This window comes from Homo sapiens, chromosome 8 (assembly GCF_000001405.40).
Source record: "Homo sapiens chromosome 8, GRCh38.p14 Primary Assembly".
In the NCBI taxonomy this organism is placed as follows: domain Eukaryota; kingdom Metazoa; phylum Chordata; class Mammalia; order Primates; family Hominidae; genus Homo; species Homo sapiens.
In genome coordinates, this window is record NC_000008.11 from 105380521 (window position 1) to 105394570 (window position 14050).

At 38.1% G+C, this 14050-nt stretch overlaps 1 protein-coding gene across 6 annotated transcripts in view; it reads left to right on the forward strand.

Annotated features, from left to right (window-relative positions):
- Positions 1–14050, forward strand: part of ZFPM2 (zinc finger protein, FOG family member 2) — a 486102-nt gene that overhangs the window by 62083 nt on the left and 409969 nt on the right. Inside the window, exon 1 of one of the 6 annotated variants that reach the window (XM_047421632.1) lies at positions 2636–7405. The exons of the other annotated variants lie outside the window; for them this stretch is intronic. The gene's annotated coding sequence lies outside the window, so the exon portion shown is untranslated. Of the gene's footprint in view, positions 1–2635; positions 7406–14050 lie in introns of those variants that run through there. 6 annotated transcript variants of the gene reach the window in all.

The following is a 14050-nucleotide window of genomic DNA, read 5'->3' on the forward strand; positions in this document are numbered from 1 at the left end:
TGCACACCCGAACTCAGCCAAAGACATAAACATTTTGCAGACCAGAAAATCAACAGATATTTTCTATCGGTATATATATATTATATATATATATATTATATATAACATATATATTATATATATATTATATATATATATTATATATAACATATATATTATATATATATTATATATAACATATATAATATATATATATATTATATATAACATATATATTATATATATATGTTATATATAACATATATAATATATACACATATATGTGTATATATATTATATATGTTATATATAATATATATAATATATAATATATATGTTATATATATTATAATATATATAATATATAATATATATGTTATATATATTATAATATATATAATATATAATATATATGTTATATATATTATAATATATATATTATTATACTTTAAGTTCTGGGATACACGTGGAGAACTTACAGGTTTGTTACATAGGTATACACATGCCGTGATGGTTTGCTGCACCTATCAACCCATCATCTACATTAGGTATTTCTCTTAATGCTATCCCTCCCCTTGCCCCCCACCCCTCAACAGGCCCTGGTGTGTGATATTCCCCTCCCTATGTCCATGTGTTTTCATTGTTCAACTCCCACTTATGAGTGAGAACATGCAGTGTTTGGTTTTCTGTTCCTGTGTTAGTTTGCTGAGAATGATGCTTTCTAGCTTCATCCTTGTCCCTGGATGAAGGTTCATATCCTGCATGAAAGGACATGAACTCATCCTTTTTTCTGGCTGCATAGTATTCCATGGTGTATATGTGCCACATTTTCTTTTTCCAGTTTTTTTGATCACCAATCACAGCTTTAACGTCACTTCATTCTTCTTGATTGATAGTTAAGAATTTTTAAGATACCCAATCAGAGAATTTGAGTAAGATACCCAAACTAGAGAACTCTTTGTTTTTGACAACATCCTATCCAGAGCAAAGTCCTGCTTTTGTGAACTCTCCCCCAAAACACCTAACACAAGTTCAAATCATATAAGTTATGGCAGACACATTCTTACTGAGATTCCCCATAGTTCCCTCATTGCAGTGGGTCAGGAAACACATTTGTCCAATAACAGATCTGATCCAGGTGGTTTTTGACTGAAGGTCTTTAATAATATTAATAGCTTAAAGACTATCAAGTGTGCTAAAATGTAAATGTTTTTGCATATATATATGAATATTTTCCCCAAAGATAGCCTCTGGAAAGCAGCAAAAGTTTGAGCTAGAGAACAACTGAAGCTTCAAGTGTTTACGTAATTGTGGTTTTTTTGATCCACCAATATTACCATTATATGGTACATTTTCATAGACTACTTTTGAAAGACTACACTGTCAACATGATATAGGCTATAAGTTGAAGTTGTAAACATTATTTCTATGGATTGGTAGACTTTCTGTTAAGTGGTTTGCCATAAATTCAAACATATCAATCTGAAGGACTAATAAACCACCACTGAAAGACTTGCTAAAAACAATATATTCAAGATTCAAAATTTATTTGTCCAAAACACCTGCTCCTGACCTCCCACAAGATAAGCTATTTAGAGATGGTTGAAATTTTTATAATATTATACTTTGGATGAATACAGGCTTAATGAGTCATCTGTTATTCTTCCAGTTTGAATAGTTGACAAATTATACTTCTATTATTTCTATCTGGTCAATAGTATGATTTCCTGACACCATCCTTCTGTGTATGCAATGCACTCTAGAGAGTACTTAAGCTTTTTTTTTAAAAATCATAAGTTATTCATTAGATAACCTTACAGGGAATTAAATAATGTTTGCGTTAAAAATTGCAAAACATAGTTAATCCTGTATGTCTAATATGATGTTTTATTGTATTTTCAATATAGATTATTAGGAAATATCAAACTATAGAAGTTTTTTTATTAAACACTTTTGTCAATATTATTTTCTTATTCCATGTTAAAAGTTTACCTTCATTGAGAAGAATATTAAAAATAAAATAGAAAATGTTATTTTACCCTTTACAACACAGTGGTATAAGCGTTTGCATATATACCTACCAGACTTCAAAATGTGAAATGGAAATGAAGACATTCTAGAGAAGTTTTCTAGAATGGGGGAAGAAAGTCTAGCTTCTACATTTGGGGAATGGCTTAAAATATTTGTGATTTTATGATGGAAAGACTAAGTATAGGGGAAGGTTAGACATAACTTACTTGGCAAAGCTTAGTACTTTGGAAATGGGTAGTTCCCCTAAAACCTGACAAAGGAATATTGGAATTTAGAAATAATTATGGGACTTCAAAGAGTATAAAGGAAGTATTAATGGATAATATTTGCACCTCATCTTTGAAGCTTTGGTGACGATGATGACGAGTGGAACATTAAAGGTGTAGAATATAGTAAATGATCTTTGGAAATCTAATATCTAGTTATGGAGATTATGCTGAAACATAATCATATAATTAAGTAGAAATATATATTTAAATGAATAGGTATTTGATGGAAAGGGAAATAGGTGGTTAGGAAGAGAGGAATAAGGGTAGGCTAGAATAGTCAGGAAAAATATCATGCCTGGGGTTGGGCTTTGCCTGAGCTTTAAAGAAAAGACAGGATTGTAAGAGTTGAAGAAAATGCGAAGGACATTTAGGCTGTATGGTCATCAATATATGCTGCTCCTCATCATCAAAGTTAATAAACATATTAGCATACGTTTTCCCCAGGATATTTCACTAAGTACTGTTGGGGATAGAGTAAGCACCTATCCATGAGGCATTTACAGATTGACTGGATGCTTGTTGAATTTACTTAGCAGACCTTTCTAAAGGGCTTCTAGTCATAGAAAGCATACAGAGTTACAGTCAAAAATTGGTCAGCATGACTGTCCAGCAGCCGAATTCTTGGTCCAATGACAAATAAATCTTATGTGGTGTATTATTTTGTTCTTCTGTTTTAATATATTTATGTAAAAAAGAATGTGATTTCAAATAACCCTCTCAGTCCTACTTTTCTCATATCTGAAATAAAGGTGTAAAAGAACTGGATCTTTGAAGGCCCGTGTAGACTTGTAATTGCATAGTTCTTTGTCCTGAGTTTATCAGCATACAACATATAACATGAAAGATTTACCTAATACATCTTAGTCTTAGTGGTCCGGAGTATATGAAAATAGAGTGTTGTTCATATATATTGTTGCATGCTATTTTAGCCTTGTTTACAGCTTAAAAAATAGTTTGAATTGACAATTGGAATAGACCACTTGGAGCTCCTGCTGGATCAGCCAGCACCAAGTTGTGCCCACTATTCAGAATTTTGAAAAAAACAAAGTATCACTATATTAACTCATTTTAAAAAATCTGCATAATGCTTATATTGCTCTTGTCTTCAGTCTTTCCATTTTTCTGTCTTCTTTCAAATCTGCCTAGGTATTAATATAAAGAGAAGAAAGCTTCAAATATGGATCTCATCACACTAGACAACTACAGAATTCCATTAACTGAAGTATGCTTAGGAAATATGCTATAATTAATTTTATGTGGTAGGATATGTTGGAGAATATTAGACCAGTGTTAGCTCACTCACTGTAGACACAATCCCGTGGACACCTTGACTCCTCCATTCCCCATTCTGCCAGCCCTCCACATTCATTGTCTTAGGGATGGAATCACACATCAGAAACACTGAGAGAGAAAAGATTCCAATTCTTGTCTTTTGAGTTGCACAAGCCAAGACCACAGCATACATGAGTTTGTGAAGATATGATGACCCACGCAAAGCTCCCCTCAACTTCGCCACTGAGATAAAAGTAAGAATTCTCCTGATGGAAGAGAAGTGATGATTGCATAAATGACAATCTCTAAAAAGAGTGTGAGTCACCCTTTCTTCCCCTCAGTTAATCCCAGGAGGTGGATTATCCATAGAGTTCCCCAGTAGGCTCATTAATAGGATACCAAATGGGAACTGTGTTTTTTTCTCTGAGGTGGGGTCAGGGAAATCAGTAAGACCACAGAGACAGATGGGCCTAAGGCAGACTCATTGCCTTTCCTGATCCCATCACATTGTGAGAGAAGCAAACTGATCTCCATGTACCCTAGGGTGTGCAATAGTTAGTTGGGAACAAACATTAACCCGTTTGGAGCAAGAGCTTTGACAAGAAGAAAGAGGAAATTCAAAGGAATGCTAAGGGGGACTGATGACACTAAGGACCAGATGCCTTCTCACCGAGCTCCTCTAAGTCCTTCCCATTGTCAGCCACTAAATATGCTCTCTGGAACTTAGACGAAACCCTGAATTGATGAAGTTTCTGTCACCTGGGAAATAGGTTCTTGAAAAATAAATTTAGATATTCAATAATCCATATAACAGCAGAAATGAATACAGTGCTCACTGTGTCCCAAACACTACCCTAAGCACTTTATGTGTAGTGACTAACAAAAGTCTCACACAGTCATATGAGAGAGTTATTGTCATTATTGTCTCTGTTTTATCGATGATTAAACTGAGACCTAGAGAGGTCTTGCCCGATGTTTCACAGCTCAGAAGTTACAAAGCCAGGATTCAAATCTAGGCAGTCTGTAGCAGACTATACGAGACCACTTCTCAAAGAGGTTTAAAATAATAAAACAACACCTCTGGCACAACTGAGCCTGTGGCCCATGTTTTACATGCCTCATGCATATTTTGGAGGAATCTTATGCAAAGTCATCTTTGACATTCGTTTCTGCATGGACTCTGGGCAGGTTGTGAAGGATGCTGCTTATTATATAATACAGAGTGCTTTCTGGAAGACCATGGATGTTATTTCTGTCTATTCTTAGTAGTGGAAATATTTGGGCTTCTCTTGAGCAACTACTTTATTTGTATTTTGTAGAAAAATCAACTATTTCATCTCATTTCTCTGTTTTCATTGGCTGGTATGTAGCTTAGAGACAAACGTCAAGCTAGCTATTGCCAAGTCACTAGAAATTCATGGCCTGTGTTGTGTGTGCTCACTGTACTGCTCTATCCCAACTTTCCCTTTGCTTTGCTTCTTACCTATTTTAATTTACTTTATCTGTCAGTAATGTACGTATCTTAGTGAAACACCTTAAATCCTTTCTGAGAAAGGCAGGTTGTAAATACATGCAAATATTATTTTTCTTTGCTTCCAAACTACATCACTCTTAGATCTCTCTTGGTCAGCAGAAGGACCCCAGCGATTACTTTATAGCAGTAATGTCATTCCTTCATTGGCACATTTTATCCATAGAGGACAGAGAGGATAAGCTGTGAAGGACACAGTGTGCTTCCTATTCCCTCCTCTCTATTCTTGAGCTGAATGTGCAGGGGTGAAAAGAAATGTTGGCACATAGGGAAGAATGGTGTAGTGGCTAAGTATATGGGTTCTGAGGTCAGAACTGGCTTATATTCCAGTTCTGCAGCCCACCTCCATGTGACCTTGAGCAAGTTACTTATCTGTGCCTCAGTTCCCTCATCTATAACACAGAGCTGAAACAGTTACCCCCATTCATGTAGTTATTGTGAATATTAAATAAATTAATGTAAGTAAACATTTACTGTTTTTCAATAGGTGCTCAGTAAAATGGCCAGTAAGTGGGGGCAGGAGGGCTAGAGAATTAGAAAAAGTCTTTTGAACTGTAGTAAAACAAACAGAATATTCTTGATATAACTCATGAAGAGCCCAACCGAAAGTAGGGTATTTTTTAAAGGTAGAGATTGTTTTTGCTATACTTAATATGTGCCTTTTTGTTTTATTCTTCCTGAAGCTAAAGCATACATTTTTAATTTTTTTACATATTCTTTTAAGCATCAGAATTATAAGGTAAGAAAGGATCTATGTTCATGAGCACTGGCCACACTAGTAATCCTGTGTCCGGAATTCGTGGGTTCTTGGTCTCACTGACTTCAAGAATGAAGCCGTGGACCCTCGTGGTGAGTGTTATAGCTCTTAAGGTGGTGTGTCTGGAGTTTGTTCCTTCTGATGTTTGGATGTGTTCAGCCTTCTGGTGGGTTCATGGTCTCGCTGGCTCAGGAGTGAAGCTGCAGACCTTTTCGGTGAGTGTTACAGCTCATAAAGACAGTGTGGACCCAAAAAGTGAGCAGCAGCAAGATTTATTGCACAGAGCGAAAGAACAAAGCTTCCACAATGTGGAAGGGGACCCCAGCAGGTTGCCACTGCTGGCTGGGGCAGCCTGCTTTTAGTCTCTTATCGGGCCCCACCCACATCCTGCTGATTGGTCCATTTTACAGAGAGCTGATTGGTCCGTTTTGACAGGGTGCTGATTGGTGTGTTTACAATCCCTGAGCTAGAACAAGGGGAAGGTGGAGGACAAAAGTTCTCCACGTACCCACTAGATTAGCTAGATACAGAGTGTGGACACAAAAGTTCTCCACGTCCCCACCAGAGTAGGTAGATACAGAGTGTTGATTGGTGCATTCACAAACTCTGAGCTAGACAGAGGGTGCTGATTGGTGTATTTCCAAACCTTGAGCTAGATACAGAGTGCCGATTGGTGTATTTACAATCCCTTAGCTAGACATAAATGTTCTCCGAGTACCCCGCCAGAGTAGCTAGATAGAGAGTGTGGATTGGTGCATTCACAAACCCTGAGCTAGACACAGGGTGCTGACTGGTGTGTTTACAAACCTTGAGCAAGATACAGAGTGCCAATTGCTGTATTTACAATCCCTTAGCTAGACATAAAGGTTCTCCAAGTCCCCACCAGACTCAGGAGCCCAGCTGGCTTCACCCAGTGGATCCCGCATTGGGGCGCAGGTGGAGCTGCCTGCCAGTCTCGTGCTGTGCGCCCGCACTCCTCAGCCCTTGGGTGGTCGATGGGACTGGGCGCCGTAGAGCAGGCGGCAGCGCTCGTCGGGGAGGCTCCGGCTGCGCAGGAGCCCACAGCGTGGGGGAGGCTCAGGCATGGTGGGCTGCAGGTCCCAAGCCCTGCCCCGCCGGGAGGCAGCTAAGGCCCGGCGAGAAGTCCGGCACAGCAGCTGCTGGCCCAGGTGCTAAGCCCCTCACTGCCTAGGGCGGGCGGGGCCGGCTGGCTGGCCGCTCTGAGTGCAGGGCCCGTGGAGCCCACGCCCACCCGGAACTGGCACTGACCCGCAAGCGCTGTGCGCAGCCGCGGTTCCTGCCCGCGCCTCTACTTCCACACCTCCCCGCAAGCTGAGGGAGCCGGCTCCGGCCTCGGCCAGCCCAGGAAGGGGCTCCACCGTGCAGCGGCGGGCTGAAGGGCTCCTCAAGTGCCGCCAAAGTGGGAGCCCAGGCAGAGGAGGACTCGAGAACGAGCAAGGGCTGCGAGCGCTGCCAGCACGCTGTCACCTCTCAATCCCACTCAAACTGTGTTTACAGAGCATCAGAGAAAAAAAGACAACCTGTATTCGCCCTGGAAAAACTAATGTAAGAAATATTTTCTCTTTCAATAATTTTTTCTGATGCAGTAAGAAATTCCCATAAAATGCTTAAGATTTTACTTCCAGTCTTAGAAATATGTGAACCTATAAATATATTTGAGACCACCAAATTAATTCAAGACATCTTTCAAGAAACTATTGAACTGATAAAAGATATGATATGTGATGAATACTCCTGCCCTCAAGGTGGCTAAAAGCTGGTAAAGACAGACATATAACTGAATATTGCATGCCAAAATATGCAAACACATGTGCATATGAATGTGCACACACACACAACTGCAGTACTGTGAAATCAGTGGCAACATAGAGATTTTCATGGGGGAACAACTCATACCATTAGTGACAGTAAAAAAGGAAAGAGAAGAAGAAATGGAGAGAAAAGGGAAAAGGAGATGGGGTTGGGGGAGGGAGAGAGAAAGAGGAGGGAAAAAGAGGGAGAACACACAACATGGGAGACATGATAATAAAAATGACTTGCAGTATAAGTCGTGAAAGATGAGAAGGCATTTGCAGTTGTTAGCATGTGGGTGGGAGGATTCCAGGTTAGAGAATGGAGTCTAAGAGAATAGAAGCCTTCTGGGGGGTGATGGGCATGGCACAGCATGGCAGTCAAAAATGCAGTAAGCTCCGACTACATGCGGGCAGTAGAAAACCACTGAGGAATTCTCGGCATTGGGACAAACATAATGGGATTTACCTTTTAGAAAGGCAGCATTGGAGAATATGTCTTGAAAGGGAGTGAGGATGGAGGAAGAACAGTTGCTGTGGTCCTGGCTTCTGCCAGGTGATTCTCCTGTTTTATTTATTTAGCTCAGGGAAGTTAACAGCTTCCTGCTGTTGCTAATATCCGGGTTGCGTTGCTGTCCTCTTCCAACCTGTGTGCTCAGTTCCCTGAAATAAATTCCCTCTAGTTAAGAACTCAGAACTGTTTCTGTTTGGAGGTTAGACCTTCACTGATACACTGTAGCAATAGTCCAGAGAAGAGGTGTTGATGGCCCTATGAAAAGGAGAGAACGTGCACATACAGAGGAGAGAGCTAATTTAGAAAACAAAACCACAGAATTTGATGACGTGTGTGTGTGTGTGTGTGTGTGTGTGTGTGTGTGTGTGTGTGTGTAGGCATGAGGGGAGAGACGAATAGATACTCTGACCCTTCTGGATGGCCCACTTAACAGAGTGATGTGATTTAAAGAAACAAGCAATGAGGGAAGAGCAAAGGATTGTAGGAGAAGGCCTAAGGCGACCATAGGACACTCAGACATGTCTAGTAAACAGATGGATGTTGGAATCTGTAGCATCCATAATTGAAATCTATTAGCATATAGTAGGAGTTTAACAGTATTTAAGATCTTAGAAGATCACTAGAAAAAGCATATATAATGAAAAGGGACCAATGACACAACTTCATGGAAGCACTCATATAAAGGGTTAAATGGACAAAGAGGAAAATCAGAGGGGGAAATAGTGTCACAAAAGCCGAGACCTTTAGTAAAGATGAATAGTCAAAAAATGCTAGAATGGGTTCATTCTCTATGCCTACTCAGATGTCATTGACCAATTAAGGGTAGATCCAAAGTTGCTTTTTCTCTTCAAAATAACATTCTACTACATTGTTATTCTCATATTACAATGAAGAGATTGGGAACCAGAGAGAGAGAAAATCAGTTTTCTAATTTTACCCAGCTGGTATATGGGGAAACTAGAATTTCAACCCAGCTCTGACTAATTTGTAGAGTCTGTGGTGCTTTGTAAATGGTCATCAATGCGAGGCTAACAAATCTGTATGTATTTATATAGTAACAAGAAAGCTTGAGACAAGGTAAGACGTGATCATAGCTATGTCTGAGAAGAATAATCTAAAAGCAGCATGTAGTGGGGATTTGAAAAGATAGATCCAGGAAAAAGGAAGCGCAGTTATTAGACCTCTAGATAAGGAGAAATGAGAGCCTTCTTTAGGGTGCAGATTTGTCAGATTTAGGAAAAATAACAGTAAAACTCAAAATGCCCATTTACATATGAATTTCTGAATTTTTGGTTTAAGTACGTCCCTTATAATATCTGGTATTTATGTATATTAAAATCATGCTATTTATTTTAAATTTGTATTTAACTAGTCTCATGTATTTTATCTGGTAGCCTAAAGTACTGTAATGTAATTCTGACACTAACAACCTATAGTTTGTGCAGACTCCGTAGGTTGAGGCAAAGACCCCAGTAAGATTGTTCTTGTCAGATACCAATCTCAAACTCAGAGGTTCCCAGGCCAACTGCACTTCTGACTAACAGGCTACAAATTTGGTGTTTCCTATGATTCCCTTAGGTTGATATGATAATTCACTAGATTAATTCACATGACTCAGGAAAAGGGTATACTTATGACAGTACTTTTATTTTAAACAATAAAAAAGCAGAACCTCCTAATGAGACATACCTCCTAAATGAAGACATACGTAGGGCAAGGTCTAGCATGGTTTCGAAGTAGAGCTTTCGTGTATTCTCACAAACTCGGAATGCATCATTCTGGGTGTGCTCACTAACCAGGAAGCTCACCCAAGACTCAGTGTATAGCAGCTTTGTTGGTGTTTCTTTACATAGGCATGATTAATTGACTCTTTGCCAACATGATTGAACTCGATCTCCACTCCCCCGTATCCTCCTCTACAGTGAGGGGCCTACTTTGAAAGACAGAGACATTCCTATCACTTGAGAAATTCCAAGGGCTTTGGATTCCTGTGCAGGACAAAGACCAGACAAATTCTTTATTATACAACACAACCTTAATGTACTCATGGTAATGAAAATGGAGAGACAGATGAGGAAGGAATTATACCAGGGAGGAGTCTAAATTGTTGGTAGTATTAACATTCTAGCTTAAATTGATCATATTTAAATTGATCCTAGATTGGAAATATGTAAGAAACTGCAGACTGATATGAAGGAGATAATATAGGTAATGAGCTAATTTTAGATTCCTGGAGTTGAAGATATTGATGAAACACATGAATGCAGGGTAAAGGTATAAAAATGCATATCTAGGGTTTAGAAGAATCTTCAGAATTATATACTGAGAGTCAAGACTCCATAGCATAAATGTGATTGCTGTGGCTCACATTGCAGACATACCTCATTTTATTGTGCCTCACTTTATTGTGCTATGCAGATATTGCATTTTATACAAATTGAAGTTTTGTGGAGCTATGCAACAAAAGCAAATCTTTCAGTATGGTACCATTTTTCCACCAGTGTGTGCTCACTTCATGTCCCTGTGTCACATTTTGGTAATTCTCACAATGTATTGGACTTTCCCCAGAACTTAAAGTATAATGAATAAATAGTGCATATACCTTAATGTAAAAACAGTTGATTTAACTTAAAATGCTGATGATCATCTGAGACTTCAGCAAGTCATGAATTGATGCTGATGGCTGCTGAGTGATCAGGGTGGTGGCTGCTGAATGTGGAGGTGGCTGTGGTAATTTTTTAAAATAAGACAACGATGAAGTTTGTCACATTGATTAAGTCTTCCAGTCATGAAAGATTTCTCTGTAGCTTGCAATGCTGTTTGATAGTATTTTATCTACTGTAGAACTTTCAGAATTAGAGTCAATCCTCACACACCCTACTTATGCGTCGTCAATAATGTCTATAAAATATTCTAAATCCTTTATCATTTCAACAATTCACAACATGTGTACCAGAAGTAGATTCTATCTCTAGCAACTACTTTTTTGTGCTCATCTTTAAGAAACAAATTCTCATGTGTTAAAGTTTGTCATGAGATTGCAGCAATTCAGTCACATCTTCAGGATCTCCTTTTAATTCTAGTTGTCTTGCTATTTCCAGCCCATCTGTAGTTACTTTCTCAGCTAAAGTCTTGAACTCCTCTAAGTCATCCATAAGAGTTGGAATCAACTTCCTCCAAATTCCTGTTAATGTTAATATTTTGACTTCCTCCCATGAATCATGAATTCTTAATGGCATCTAGAAAGGTAAATCCTTTACAGAAGCTTTTCAGATTACTTTGTTCAGGTCCATCCATCACAGAAATCACTGTCTGTGGCAGCTGTAGCCGTATAAAATGTATTCCTTAATAAGACTTGAAAGTCCAACTTTGCAGAATGGATTTTTGTTACCAGGCATGAAAACAATATAGGTTTCCTTGTACATCTCCATCAGAGCTCTTGGGTGATCAGGTGCACTGTCAATGAGCAGTAATATTTTGAAGGGAATTTTTTTTCTGAGCAGTAGGTCTCAACAGAGGGCTTGAAATACCAATCAGGCTTTGAAGTTAACCCAATCTTTACTCTTCAAAGTTTACCTTTTCTTTCACATAGAAAGGTTAACAAAATGGAATTAAAGTCAGTGCTTTTATCTATTCATTTAAAACTTGTTCTTTAATTATGAAATGGCTTACAACTAGTAATAATAAATTAATCTAGGTAATTATAGTTTTCAAATGGCTGAATGGGAAATACTTGCAGTGTATCTACATAATCTCATGAAGACCATTGATAAAGCCACATCGTAGCACATATACTTGTAAAATGTCACCTTCCTTTGTCTAGTCTCCAACTACAATATGATAAAATTTAACAAATTTGCTAAGTGTCCACTATGTACCAAAACACTTTTCTGAGTATTGTGGGCCGTACAAAAACAACTAACATATAATCTGATGGAGAGATGAATACTTAAAAAATACCAACATTTATGTTTTGGTCATTATAATTTTTGTCGAAACTACTTTACTATAATGTCACTAGTAGCATTAAATACTGCATAATTAATAATCCAAATTAAACAGAGTATCAGTAGAGATGTCTTTGAAACATGCAAACAAGCAAATTGCTTCACCCCTTTGAACTTCATTTCTTAATCTATAAGTGAGAGATTGTATTAAATTTTATCTTTTTGCTTTTTCAGTTCTTTTCGTGCTTATAGTGTCAGATAATAGGTTTTATTACTTAAATCCAAGTTCTATTTGAAGCTTTAACACTTGGAATTATGTGTAAGGCTGCCTTTTCATTAGCATGTGGTTCAAAGGCATGGAATAATAACTGGAAGCCTGGTTTCTAGTTCTTGTTCTATGAAAAAAACGTCAGAATCCCTCAATGTTCTCATCTGTGTGATGAGATAAACTGTGGTGCTTTCCATCTGTAACATCTGTAATTTTTTTAAAGCCTCTAATATCCAGGTGAAGACCAATCCAATCAGTCTGATTTATAAAATATTTTAAAGAAATATTTTTATTGCTCTTAAACCATGCCGTTGGAAGTGTGGCTGGTGTAGAAGACAGCCTAATAAAAATAGCTGAAGCATGTGCTATACTGAAGAAATTATATTCTTCAGAATGTCTTCCTTCCTTCCTTTCTTCCTTCCCTCTCTCTCTCTTTGCCTTTCTTTCTTTCTTTCTTTCTTTCTTTCTTTCTTTCTTTCTTTCTTTCTTTCTTCTTCAGAATTTAAATATGGAATGTATCACTAAAATGATTATATCTCCAGGTTTTGAGATACCTAAAAACAGGGTGTTCTCTTTAAAGGAATTAAAGATACTCATTTAGTATCTACACAACCACGGATAAACTCTTTTCAGAGCTTGGCCTTTTTCTTCCTGTATAATGCAAAGACAAATTTCAGCCAGAGCATGTTTATTATTATAACAAATCAGCCACGTTCTGTTATATGAAAGTAAGTTAGTGCTGGCATAGTCTTGGGTGGGAGAAATTCATTTTGTGCAAGGAATATTTCGGTGAGATTTTTGACTGCATGTGTTTATTTACCAGAGAGTTTGATTGTTGATTCCTAAACTGGAAATTAAATGTAACAGTGTAAATTGTGGATGTTACAATAATTAAAATATCTTGGATTTAGGTCAGAATTATTATTCCTAACCACAATTTGGGAAGTTACCAATTTGACTATTGAAATGTTATAGAATTAGATCTAAAATATTTCTTTTTTTTTTTTTTTTTGAGATGGAGTCTCGCTCTGTCACCCAGGCTGGTGTGCAGTGGTGTGATCTTGGCTCACTGCAAGCTCCGCTTCCTGGGTTCACGCCATTCTCCTGCCTCAGCCTCTCAAGTAGCTGAGACTACAGGCGCCTGCCACCATGCCCGGCTAATTTTTTGTATTTTTATTAGAGTCGGGGTTTCACCGTGTTAGCCAGGATGGTCTCTATCTCCTGACCTAGTGATTCGCCCGCCTCGGCCTCCCAAAGTGCTGGGATTACAAGCGTGAGCCACCGCGCCCAGCCATAGACCTAAATATTTCTAACTGCTGTTTCATATTGAGATGCTCCTGCAAGTGGGGAGTTTGGATGGGAGCAAATCAAACAGGGGCATCTCTAGGAGCTCCCTGCTGCCTTTGTTTAGGGAAGGGTGTTTTATATAATATGTCTGTTTACTGACATGCTAACTCTGTGGAAATGTATCACTTTTCTCTTGTGTTGTTTATTTCAGTAGGAATATATTACTCTTTAGCTCAGTTTCAAAAAACAGTTACTATCTTAATAGTACCTGGAAATTGAGAGTGTTTTAAAATGTTATTGAAAGTTCCTTGTAGAACACTGTATAGAATGTAATTCAGATGTTTCATATTCTGGGAGAGCTGAGTAGGTATAATGTATCAAACA